Below are 13904 nucleotides of genomic sequence, written 5' to 3'. Positions count from 1 at the left end.
TAAAGCTGTTAAAACCGCTTCAACATATGAGTTGCTGTAAATGTTATAATTAGTTAAAAAGAACAAGTAGGCCTTGTGTGGTGGCTCACACTTGTAATCCCAGCACTTTGGGAGGCTGAGGTGGGCGGATCACTTGAGGTCAGGAGTTTAAGACCACCCTGGCCAACATGGTGAAACTCCATCTCTACTAAAAATACAAAAAATAGGCCGCGTGCGGTGGCTCATGCCTGTAATCCCAGCACTTTGGGAGGCCAAGGTGCGGGGATCACGAGGGCAAGAGAGCGAGACCATCCTGGCCAACATGGTCAAACCCCGTCTCTATTAAAAATATAAAAATCAGCTGGTCGTGGTGGCGTGGTGGTGGCTGCCCGTAGTCCCAGCTACTCAGGAGGCTGAGGAAAGAGTATTGCTTGGACCGGGGAGGTGGAGGTTGCAATGAGCCGAGATCACGCCATTGCACTCCAGCCTGGGCGACAGAGCCAGACACTGTCTTAAAAAAAAAAAAAATAGCCAGACATGGTGGTGCACACCTGTAGTCCCAGCTACTCAGGAGGCTGAGGCAGGAGGTTGCAGTAAGCCGAGATCATGCCATTGCACTCCAGCCTGGACGGCAGAGGGAGACTCCGTCTAAAAAAAAAACAGAATAAGTAAATCTGGTGAACTGGTTTTCCATTAGTGCAGCTATTTTCTGCTTTTTGGAGATAGTGGTTAAAACGAGGTGAATAGACAGAAATGCATTTACAAATTTATGATATAACTTTTCAATAAAAGGTGCTGGACCAATTAGGAAAAAAACTAAATCTAGACCTTTGCCTCACACCAAACACAAAAATGAATTCATAATGGACCATACACCTAAGTATGACAGGGAAAGTAAAGCTTCTAGAAAGAGGATATGTTAATGAATGTAAGGTACGCAAAGATTTCAAAAACAGGAAAGAGTAACCAAAATGAAAAAAAAAAAAAGTTAAACAGGCACCCACCTGTAGTTCCAGCTACTCAGGAGGCTTGAGGTGGGAGGATCGCTTGAGCCCAGGAAATTGAGGTCGTAGTGCACAATGATAGCCCCTGTGAACAGTCACTGCACTCTAGCCTGGGCAACACAGTGAGAACCCATGTCTATTAAATAAATAAATAAGTGTAAAAATTTTAAAAATAAATCAATAAAGTCGATGAAATAAAATTCATCAAAACTGGAAACTTCTATTCATCAAAAAACATCATTAAGAAAATGAAAAATGGAGGCCGGGCGTGGTGGCTCACGCCTGTAATCCCAGCACTTTGGGAGGCTGAGGCAGATCACAAGGTCAAGAGATCAAGACCATCCTGGCCAACACAGTGAAACCCTGTCTCTACTAAAAATACAAAAATTAGCTGAGCGTGGTGGCGCACACCTGTAGTCCCAGCTACTCAGGAGCCTGAGGCAGGAGGATCACTTGAACCCGGGAGGCGGAGGTTGCAGTGAGTCGAGATTGTGCCACTGCCCTCCAGCCTGGCAACAGAGTGAGACTCTGTCTCCCGAAAAAAAAAAAAGAAAAAGAAAATGAAAAATGGAAGCCACAAATTGCAGGAAACATTTGCAAAATACATACCTGAGAAAGGACTCATCCTAAATATATAAAGCACTCTTGTAAATCAACAAGAAAAAGACAAATAATTTTTTTTTAATGACAAAAGACTTGATCAGGAACTTCCCTAAAGACTACATTCAAATAGTACACATATGAGGCCAGGGACAGTGGCTCACGCTGTAATGCCACCAGCACTTCAGGAGGTGGGAGGATTACTTGAGCCCAGGAGTTCGAGACCAGCCTGGGCAACATAGTAAGACTCCCCCTGCCCCACCATCTCTACAAAAAAAAAAAAAAAAAATTAGCCAGGCATGGTGGCGTGTGCCTGTAGTCTGAGCTATTCAGGAGGCTGAGGTAGGAGGATCCTGTGAGCCTGGGAAGTTGAGGCTGCAGTGGGTCATGATTGCATAACTGCACTCCAGCAAAAGAAAATTTGAAAATGTGCTCAGTATCATTAATTAGCAGGGAAATATAAATTAAAACCACAATGAGATACCACTACAAATCCACCTGAACAGCTAAAATATTTTAAAACACATATGCTGTACCAAGTGTTGGTGTAATATGTGCGGCAACTAGAATTCTCATGCATTGCTGCTAGAAGTGTTAATTAGCACATTCACTATGGAACATTTTTTGGCATTATCTAAAAAACTAAACATATGCCTACTAGCAATTCCACTCCTAGAAATGAGGGCATTTGTCCATGAACAGACATATACCACCAGAACGTTTAGGGCAGCTTTATTCATAACAGACAACAATTTAAAACCCCAATAAGTGCTCATGATAGGAGTCTCTTCATATGAAGTTCAAGAACAGGCAGAATTAATCAATGCTTCTAGAAATTTGGAATAGTGATTTTTTCTAAGTAACCTCTGGGAGTGGATACTGATGGAAAGAGACATGAGACAGCCTTCCTGGATGCTGAAAATATTTTTCCTCTTGATCTGGATGGTGGGTACACACATGTAACAATTCATTAGCTTATACACTGAAGGCTTGTTCCCTTTATGTATATTTTACCTCAATAAATTAACAATATGAAACAGTTTATCATTTAATGTCAATTAAATGCTCTACAGCATAAACTCTAAAAATGTTTGATATAGTTTGGATATTTGTCCCCACTCAAATTGGATATTTGTCTCACATTGAGATGTAATCCCCAATATTGGAGGTGGGGTCCGGTGGGGCCTCCTTGCTCCATTCTCGCTAGGCGATATGCCTGCTCCCCCTTTGTTTTCCGCCATGATTCGAAGTTTCCTAGGCCAGGTGCAGTGGCTCACACCTGTAATCCCAGCACTTTGGGAGGCCGAGGCAGGTGGATCACTTGAGGTCAGGAGTTCAAGACCAGCCTGATCAACATGGTGAAACCAGTCTCTACTAAAAATATACAAAATTGGACAAGCGCGGTGGTGCACGCCTGTAATCCCAGCTACTTGGAGGCTGAGACAGGAGAACTGCTTGAACCCGGGAGGCGGAGCTTGCAGTGAGCCAAGACAGCACTATTGCACTCCAGCCTGGGCAACAAGAGAGAAACTCCGTCTGAAAAAAAACAAAACAAAACAAAAAACCCGGAAGTTTCCCAAGGCCTCTGCAGAAGCAGCTGCCACTGTGCTTCCTGTACAGCCTGCAGAATCATGAGCCAATTAAAACTCTTTTCTTATAAATTACCCAGTCTCAGGTATTTCTCTTTTTTTGTTTTGTTTTGTTTTGAGATGGAGTCTCTCTCCGTGTTGCCAAGGCTGGAGTACAGTGACACAATCTTGGCTCACGGCAACTTCCACCTCCCAGGTTCAAGCGATTCTCCTGCCTCAGCTTCCCAAGTAGCTAGGATTACAGGCACACGCCACCACACACAGCTAATTTTTTTATATTTTTAGTAGAGACAGCGTTTCACTATGTTGGCCAGGCTGGTCTCAAACTCCTGACCTCAAGTGATCCGCAAGCCTCAGCCTCCCAAAGTACTGGGATTACAGGTGTGAGCCACTGCACCCGGCCCTCAGGTATTTCTTTACAGCAGTGCCGGCACAGCCTAATACAATGTTAAAAAGGGAAAAATTGTTGTGACCTGGGAAGACGAGAAAAGTTTTATGAGAGGCTGATCTGGAGGGAGTGGTCACCTGCAAGGAAAGCGGAGGGATCCGCTTATTCAAGGAGTTTAGCCCAGAAAGGGAAGAGAAATGGTTCCAGAGCTCACAAAAGCATTGAAATCTTCTTCAGGCCCAACATCTCTAGGTCCTTCAATTATTTCTCCCTTGCAGTTTGTGATGCCATTCCCACCCACTGTGTTATTCTTTCTCATAGCATCCTGTCTCTTCCATCATAGAAGTTGTCACAATTAGTAACCACATATTGATTTGATTAATAACTGAATGCAACTCCTTATTCTGATTATTTCATACTGCATAACAAACTGCCCCAACAGGTAGGGCTCACTGGGATGATTTTTCTGTAACACCTGGCATTAACTGGCAACTCAGAATGTATCCATTTGGTAGTTGGGCTGCTCTTCACTGAAAATCCTCATGCTTTTCTCAGGGAATGGCTGGAAGGATGGCCTCAATGAGCTCACTCCCCCCTTATGGAGTCCCGTAGTAGAGTAGGTGGACATCACTATGGACTGAGTTGTGTCCACTCTGCCCACCACATACACACAGCTCCCAACTCATGTTTTGGAATTTTAACCCCCAATGTGACTATATTTGAAGATAATTTTTTTTTTTTGATAGAGTTTTGCTCTGCTGCCCAGGCTGGAGTGCAGTGCCTCAATCTTGGCTCACTGCAACCTCTGCCTCCTGAGTTCAAGTGATTCTCCTGTCTCAGCCTCCTGAGTAGCTGGGATTACAGGTGTGCACCACCATGCCCAGCTGATTTTTGTATTTTTAGTAGAGACAGGCTTTTGCCATATTGGCCAGGCTGGTCTTGAACTCCCAGCCCCAAGTGATACACCTGCCTCGGCCTCCCAAATTGCTGGAATTACAGGCGTGAGCCACCGCGACTGCCTGGAGATAGGATCTTTATAGGGATGACAATTAAGGATAAATGATGTCATAAGAGTGAGGCCCTAAGCTGATAATACTGGTGTCCTTATAAGAAGAAGAAGAGACATCAGAGGTGCATGCACACAGAGAAAAGGTCATGTGAGGACATAGTCAGAAGGCGGCTGCCTGCGAGCCAAGGAGAGAGACCTCAGGAGAAACCAACCCTGCAGACTTTGATCTTGGACTTCCAGTATCCAGAAAATAAAATGTGAGCAAATAAATTCCCGTTTTTTAAGCCATCTAGTATTTTGTATGCCAGCCTGAGGAGACTAATAAAGACATATCTATGGTGTCTCAGGACTCAGAGACACAAGACAGGGGCTGTCAGCCCTCTTACAGCCCTGGCCTGGCACTGGTATAGAATCACTTCTGCCATACAGTGTTAGTCACAGTACTCATAGGCCAGCCCACCAGATTCAAGGGGCTGGAGGAGTGGGCTGCACCCTGTTTTCTGTTGTTGTTGTTGTTTGTTTGTTTGTTTTTTGAGACAGAGTTTCACTCTTGTTGCCCAGGCTGGAGTGCAATGGTGTGATCTTGGCTCACTGCAACCTCTACCTCCCAGGTTCAAGTGATTCTCCTGCCTCAGCCTCCCAAGTAACTGGGATTACAGGCATGCGCCACCATGCCCAGCTAATTTTGTATTTTTAGTAGAGACAGGGTTTCTCCATGTTGCTTAGGCTAGTTTTGAACTCCTGACCTCAGGTGATCTGCCTGCTTTGGCTTCCCAAAGTGCTGGGATTACAGGTGCGAGCCACCGCACCCGGCCTTTTTTTTTTTTAAGATGAGGATCTCACTCTGTCGCCCAGGTTGGAGTGCAGTGGCATGATCATAGCTCACTGCAGCCTCAAACTCCTGGGCTCAGGCAATCCTCCCACCTTAGCCTCCCAAGTAGCTGGAACTACAGGCATGTGCCATGATGCCCAGCTTACATATCTTGGTGATCCAATGTCATGTGCATATGAGAGGTCTCTAAGATAGTGACTATCTTGGAGACAGCTACCATCTCGGCCTCCATCCAGCCCCCAGTGGCCTGTCAGCTCCATAAGGGCAGGAATCTTGTCTAGTGTGTTTACCAGGCATGGTCTGCTCATATTCAAAATGCCTGTGTTAAAATCAAGGAAATCCTCAACCCCTTGCTGTTTGAAAGAAGGGGTCAGATTAGCTTTTCCTCCCACTGTCTTCAAAGATTTTATCCCCAGGAAATAGAATATAGCTAAATGTTGGGAAGCACATAACCAATTCAAAAATAAATTATATTTAGATGACTAATGACAATTACATTTTTCAGTGGGTCTTGATGCATAGACCAGTGAGCATTATCTCAGTCCCCTTGCCATAGTAATTGGTTCAGGAATAGGTAGTAAAACCAAACCTAAGCCAACTGGCACATGAATTTCTCTGTCCACAGGGATTAGTCCAATCAATAAGAGCAAAACACAGGGCTTTGCTGGCTGGGAAAGACAAGTCATTGATGCTGTGACTGCAGAAATTTTTTAAAATTTATTTTGACATAATTGTAGATTCACATACAGTTATAGGATGTAATTAAGATTCAGTGGCTGGGTGCAGTGGCTCGCTCCTATAAGCCTTGCACTTTGGGAGGCAGAGGAGGGAAGATTGCTTGAGGCCAGGAGTTCAAGATCAGCCTGACCAACATGGCAAAACCCTGTCTCTACTAAAAATACAAAAATTACCTAGCCATGGTGGCACATGCCTGTAATCCCAGCTACTTGGGAGGCTGAGGCATGAGAATTGCTTGAACCCAGGAGGCGGAGGTTACAGTGAGCCAAGATCATGCCACTGCACTCCAGCCTGGGCGACAGAGCAAGACTCTGTCTCCAAAAGAATAAAATAAAATAAAAATAAAGATCCAGCATACCCTTCACTCAGTTTCTCCCAATGGTAACATCTTGCATAAATATAGTACAATATCACACCAGGAAATTATTTTTGATAAAATCCACCAATCTTACTCAGATTTCACCATTTTTACATACACTCATCTGTTTGTGTGTGTTTAGTTCTATACAATTTTATTGCATGTGTAAATATCACATAGGAACAACATTACAGTCAAGATACAAAACTGTTCCATCACAAGGATCCCTCAGGGTACCCTTTTATAGCCACAGACACCTCCTTCCCTTCTCTCTCCCTAATGCCTAGCAACTACTCATCTGCTCTCTATCTCTATAATTTTATCATTTCGAGAATGTTGTGGGCTGGCCACAGCGGCTCACTCCTGTAATTCCAGCACTTTGGGAAGTCGAGGTAGGTGGATCATTTGAGGTCAAGAGTTGGAGACTAGCCTGGCCAATATGGTGAAAACCCGTGTTTACTAAAAATACAAAAAAAAAAAAATAGCTGGGCATGGTGGTACATGCCTTAATCCTAGCTACTCCGGAGGCTGACACAGGAGAATCACTTGAACCCGGAAGGCAGAGGCTGCAGTGAGCCGAGATTGTCCCACTGCACTCCAGCCTGAGTAACACAGTGGGACTCTTTCCCAAAAATAAATAAATAAATAAATAAATAAATAAATAAATAAATAAATGTTATTAATGGAATCATACAAATCACAACCTGAGATTGACTTTTCTCACTCAGCATAATTTCCTTGAGATCTATCCAAGTTGCTGCCTATCTCAGTAGTTCATTCATTTTTATCTCTGGGTAGTATTTCATAATATGGATGTGCCACTGTTTAACTCTTCACCATTCGAGGACATTTGAATTATTTCTAGGCTTGGCTATTACGAACAATGTTTTGTGCAGATTCTTGGGTGAACAAACATTTTTATTTCTCTGAGATAAATGCCCAGTGACATGCAAATTTGAGACTCTAAACTGCAGCAGCTGTTTGGCTACCTCATCAGAGAGATTCCACCCTGATGACCCAATATAAAGTAATAACCATCACTCTTCATCTTCCATATTCTGATTCATTCCACTTTATGGCATGTTTCATACCATGTGTTTATTGCTTGGTTTGCTTATCATCCAACTTTCCCTCTAGAAAGTAATTCCATGACCCCAGCAACCTTGTCTGTTTTGTTCCACACAGTGTCCTGGAATCTAGAAGACTGGCACATAGTTGACACTCAACAAACATTTGTTGAATAAATTAATGAGTAAATAAATCTCAGACACCTTTCCCTATTAGATTATTTCTTCTTTTTCTTCTTCTCCTTCTTCTTCCTCTTCTTCTTCTTCTTCTTCCTCCTTCTTCTTCTTCTTCTTCCTCCTCCTCCTCCTCCTCTTCCTCTTCTTCTTCCTCCTCCTCCTTCTTCTTTGTTTTTGTTTTTGGAAACTGCATAGCATTTCATTGTACACCTGCATAATATTTTCATTAACTTATCCCCTGTTGGAGCATATTGACGTTGGTCCCAGTATTTTACAAATCCAAACAATGCTGTAATGGCAATCCTTGTATAATCAAACATCTCTGTCCAGATGGGAGAGAAGCAGAGTAGAAGGTTCTACGAGTGAGTGCATTTAAATTTTTTTAGTGATTGTCAAATTGTTTTCTTTTACTTTTTTTTTTTTTTAATCGAGATGGAGTTTTGCTCTTGTCACCCAGGATGGAGTGCAATGGCGTGACCTCGGCTCACCGCAACATCTGCCTCCCGGGTTCAAGCTATTCTCCTGCCTCAGCCTCCTGAGTAGCTGGGATTACAGGCATGCGCCAACACGCCCAGCTAATTTTGTATTTTTAATAGAGACAGAGTTTCTCCGTGTTGGTCAGGCTGGCCTCGAACTCCTGACCTCAGGTGAGCCACCCGCCTCAGCTCCCAAAAGTGTTGGGATTACAGGCGTGAGCCACCGCGCCCAGCCCAATTGTCAAATTGCTTTCAATGGTGTTCTCCCAATTTACATTCTCACAGTGTACTGGAATTCCTCACATTCTCATTAATACTGAATACTGTCAAAGTTTTAAATCTTTGCTAATCTCATAAATTAAAATTAACATCACCTCTTTTCACATGTTTATTGACCATTTGTTCTTTTTCTCTGTACCATCTGTTCATGACCTTTGCTCATTTTTCTTCTCTCTTTTTTTGCTTTTATTTGTGCAAATATTTTGTCTCAAGGAAATTCATCCTTTGTTTAATTTGCTAAAAACATCTTTCCCCAATTTTCCTTTATCATTCAGCTGTTTAGAAAATTTTTTTATAAGAAGACATCTAATTTTGAATTCTGTATAACCAAATTTATCCATTTGTGACTTCTGTGGGGTCATGTTTAGAAAGATCTTCCAGATGACAAGTGCCTTAAAAAAAATCAATCAGTTTTCTTTTTCCTGGAATTTTTATGGATTAATTTTCTTAAAAAAATTTCATTGATCAATAATATAGTTCAGTATAAGAAGTGAGATGAGATCTTTTTTCTCCCAAGTAGCTAGCCAGTTATTCCACAATCATTTATTGAATGTATAGCACCAACCTGCAATTTCTCCTGTATCTTGTACTAAATTCTTTTTTTTTTTTTTTTTTTTTTTTTTGGAAATGGGGTCTGGCTCTGTCACCCAGGCTGGAGTGCAGTGGTGCAATCTCGGCTCACTGCAACCTCTGCCTCCTGGGATCAAGGGATCCTCCCACCTTAGCCTCCCCAGTAGCTGGGACCACAGGTGCACGCCGCAACACCCAGCTAATTTTTTGTATTTTTGGTAAAGACTGGGTTTCACCATGTTGCCCAGGCTGGTCTCAAACTCCTAAACTCAAGCCGTGGCCTCCCGAAGTGCTGGGATTACCCTGCATAAGCCACCGCGCCCGGACCTTATATTAATGTTAAATTCTTATTGATATTTTGTCTTTTTCTCCATTTCCCATTCTGTCTCATCTAATACGTTGGCTTCTTAAGTACTGTATTCTTGTATTTATTATGATAATTTTTTATTTTTCCAGACTAAGGTTAGTATCAGTTGGTAAAAGACAGATAAGAGAGAAGGAGATAGAAGAAGCAGAAATACTTTAGGCCTCATCAGGTCCCACTCAGTTTGCTGCTTGGAAGAAGAATGATCCAAGGAGGGAGGGATCAACAGTGTAAAATGTCACAGGTAAGTGACGACTAACTGGGCCTGTGGTGTAGGGGGAAAAGATTTACCAAGACCATTGTAGGTAAAGAAAGGCAGATTTATTAGAGAAAGTAGAAAAATATGTTGCCAGGGAGACAACAGGCAGTATCAACAGAAGAGAAGCTGACTACAAAGAAACAAAGACTTGCTAGGGATTTTATACAATGGAACTTGGACTGATTGATAACGCTAAGGTAGCAGGAAGCTTAACCCGCATTCTTCTGTCAGCCAAGGTGCTTGATAAATCGAGGCGTTTGATGGTAAGCAGGAAGTTTGTGAGTTATGTACAGGAGGGCCATGTGCCCTGGGCCATAAAAAAAGCAGACCTATCACTTGTTTGCTTTATCTTTGCTTTCCCCTGGTCCCACCAGCCTGACTCCTTTTCCCTGATTAGGACTCCACATAAAATGCCTTCGAGATGTTAAGATGAAGACTGAAAAGTGTCCCTTGGATTTGGCCAATACTAGTAAAAGTCACTCGTTCCCTTAGGGCAGGGAGGTTTAGAGGAGGCAGGAGGAAATTCATTTTAAAACGGTATATTTTATTTTATTTATTTTTTGAGACAGAGTCTCGCTCCTGTCGCCCAGGCTGGAGTGCAATAGCGCAATCTTGGCTCACTGCAACCTCTGCCTCCCAGGTTCAAGCGATTCTCCTGCCTCAGCCTCCCGAGTAGCTGAGGTTATAGGCATGCGACACCATGCGTGGATAATTTTTGTATTTTTAGTAGGGACGGGGCTTCCCATGTTGGCCAGGCTAGTCTCAAACTCCTGACCTCAGGTCATCCGCCCGCCTCAGCCTCCCAGAGTGGGTTTATAGGCGTGAGCCACTGTGCCTGTCCCTAAAACAGTATATTTTAGGCCGGGCGCGGTGGCTCACGCCTGTAATCCCAGCACTTTGGGAGCCCGAGGAGGGCGGATCACGATGTCAGGGAATTGAGACCATCCTGGCTAACACGGTGAAACCCTGTCTCTACTAAAAAAAATACAAAAAATTAGCCGGGCATGGTGGCGGGTGCCTGTAGTCCCAGCTACTCAGGAGGCTGAGGCAGGAGAATGGCGTGAACCTGGGAGGCGGAGCTTGCGGTGAGCCGAGATCGCGCCACTGCACTCCAGCCTGGGCGACAGAGCGAGACTCTGTCTCAAAAAAAAAAAAAGTATATTTTATTAATACTCTTTTTTTGAGACGGAGTCTCGCTCTGTCGCCCAGGCTGGAGTGCAGTGGCGCGATCTCGGCTCACCGCAACCTCCGCCTCCCAGGTTCAAGCGATTCTCCTGCCTCAGCCTCCTGAGTAGCTGGGACTACAGGTGTGCGCCACCATGCCCGGCTAATTTTTGTATTTTTAGTAGAGACGGGGTTTCACTGTGTTGGCCAGGCTGGTCATGATCTCCTGACCTCGGGATCCGCCCACCTCAGCCTCCGGAAGTGCTGGGATTACAGGCGTGAGCTACCGGGCCTATTAATAAGAATTTTATTAGGCCTTTATACTAAAGAATTTGGACAATGTCCCAGAGGCAAACACAAACAAATAAACAACAACAACAAAAAACCCACAAAACTTTGAAGATGTCTGAGTAAGAAGCGACAGAATGAAAAGCATTTTCTTCTTTAAGAATTTTTAAGGATGATTCTATTCCTTGAGGTGGTATTTGAATCAGTGAAAAAGTACAAATAGAGAAATTAATGGGAAGGCTGCACGGCTACCGATTCTTTGAAAAATACTTGTAAACTGACACACTGGTGCAATAATATAGGTTAGGATTAGTAATAGAAATTAACATGAACAGGTAAATTAAGCAAATCAAAATTCCATGAAATCTGGATGATGAAGGGAAGACAGTAAACACTCAAGGAAGAGGGGCTGGGCATGGTGGCTTCTGCCTGTAATCCCCTCACTTTGGGTGGCTGAGATGGGAGGGTCACGATCACGTGAGCCCAGGAGTTCTTGACTAGCCTAGGCAACATAGTAAGACCCCATCTCTTAAAATTTCTTTTTTCTTACAAAATTTATTGAGAAAAAGACAGGTGTAACTTTTTTAAATTAAAAAAAAGGAAGGGGACTGTTAGAGATTGCTAATGTAAATATTCCCTTTCCCCCACTCCCACCTTGTTCTACCCAACTCATCTATTTTGTTCTACCTTTTTAAAATTTTTTCCTTTTGTTTTCTTTTTTGAAACGGAGTCTTGCTCTGTTGCCCAGGCTGGAGTGCAGTGGCCTGATCTCGGCTCCCTGCAACCTCTGTCTCCCAGGCTCAAGTGATTCTCCAGCCTCAGTCTCCAGAGTAGTTGGGATTACAGGTGTGCACCACTGTGCCCATCGAGTTTTTGTATTTTTGGTAGAGACGGGGTTTCACCATGTTGGTCAGGCTGGTCTTGAACTCCTGGGCTTAAGCGATCCACCCGCCTCAGCCTCCCAAAGTGATGGGATTACAGGCATGAGCCACCACACCCTGCCTGTTCTACCTTTCTTTACCCCCAGGTCACCTGCCTCCAGAGGTAATAAAGGGTTGGTAAGATAAACACAATCAATTCTGAAAAACAAAGCCAAACTCAAGGCTTGCATCCCCCAAGTAAAGGAGAAGATGAAGGGCAGCTTTATCTACCTATCCATATCTCTCATATTTCTGCACTGTATTGCAATGCTTATTAGTCCTTTTTGGAGTAAATGAGAATAGACATATCCTTTAATTCTTACAAATTTCATTGTTGACCCAATCTCAAACCAAGACCAGACTGTGGTGTGGCCTGGCCCAAGTACTCTACATTTTTCTGGAAATGGGCTAAAGCTATTTGGGACTGGAATTTGAATGACTGGGTACTCAGAGTATGGTTGAGAAGGTAGATGTGGGTTTGGGGCTGGCAAGTCCACTTAATCCCTCAGACTTCTTGTCCCATGGGGAAGAGGACCAGAGTGGAACTCTCTAAAGTGATGATGTGGGCTGCTTTGCCTACGGAGTAGCCATTCTTTATTCCTTTATTTTCTTAATAATCTTACTTTCACTTTGAAAAAATAAAAATAAAGTGATGGTCTGGAAGCAGAAGCCCGCCTTGCTCAGATAGCAAGACAATATTGAGAAAATCTCAAAGAAAACTAGGAAACACCAAGTAAGGGATAAGAAAGCAACTTAAAAATGCTGGAGGTCTACTGGATGATAAGACAATGAGTATTGTGGGACTCCAAGACCCTGGGTCACCGCAGGATTCTTAGTTTCTCTATACTTCAGAAAGGAGCAAGCAATTTTTAGTTGCTACTCAATACAACAACCCTACGTAGTGGGCATTTTAATACCATTTTAATGGATAAACAATCTTATGGTTCAAAAAGTAAAAGATGTAACGAAATCTACTTCTTACTGCGGTACAATTATCATCCCCATTTCACACGAGGAGAAACTGAGGTAAATGAATGGTAAACCAACTTGCTTGGGCACAAGTGAGAGGTAGCAGAACTGGGCTTGTTATTGACACACAGAAATGTTACCATCTGATAATTAAACCTTTCTTTTTCTAAACAAAACTGCAAGTGCCTACAAATGGGGCTGTTTAATAAAAGGCCTCACTTATCAGGTGGGCTCAGTCGGTGACCCTCCTCATCCTCCAGCCTCTTGGGGAGGCCAGGTGTTTGCGCTCCCCAGCACCTATACAAAGCCAGCTTTCATTTTTTCGTTTCTTTTTTTTTTTTTTTTTTTTTTTTGAGACAGAGTCTCCCTCTGTCCCGCAGGCTGGAGTGCAGTGGCGATCTCGGGTCACTGCAACCTCCGCCTCCTGGGTTCAAGGGATTCTGCTGCCTCAGCCTCCTGAGTAGCTGAGACTACAGGCGCCTGCCACCACGCCCGGCCAATTTTTCTATTGGTAGTAGAGATGGGGTTTTACCATGTTGGCCAGGATAGTCTTGATCTCCTGACCTCGTGATCCACCTGCCTTGGCCTCCCAAATGCTGGGATTACAGGCGCGAGCCACTGCGCGCGGCCAAAGCCAGCTTTCTTTTGCAGGGGCTGAGACCTGGCACCAAGAGGAAACCCAACAAAAGACGAGGGGCCCGGGCCCGGCAGCCGCTGAAGTTTGTAGGCCCGGAGCGTGTGGCACCATCTGCTCTTGCGACCAGTGCCCTAGGATAGAGCTTCAGCGCGACCAGTCCAAAGGAGAGTGGCGGAGCCTCCTCGGCCTTTCCAAGAGGAAACAGCTCAGGCCCCCAGGCCACGAAACCTTGTCACT

This window comes from Homo sapiens, chromosome 6, assembly GCF_000001405.40.
Source record: "Homo sapiens chromosome 6, GRCh38.p14 Primary Assembly".
NCBI classification, from domain to species: Eukaryota; Metazoa; Chordata; class Mammalia; order Primates; family Hominidae; genus Homo; species Homo sapiens.
Note: the sequence above shows the minus strand (reverse complement) of the source record.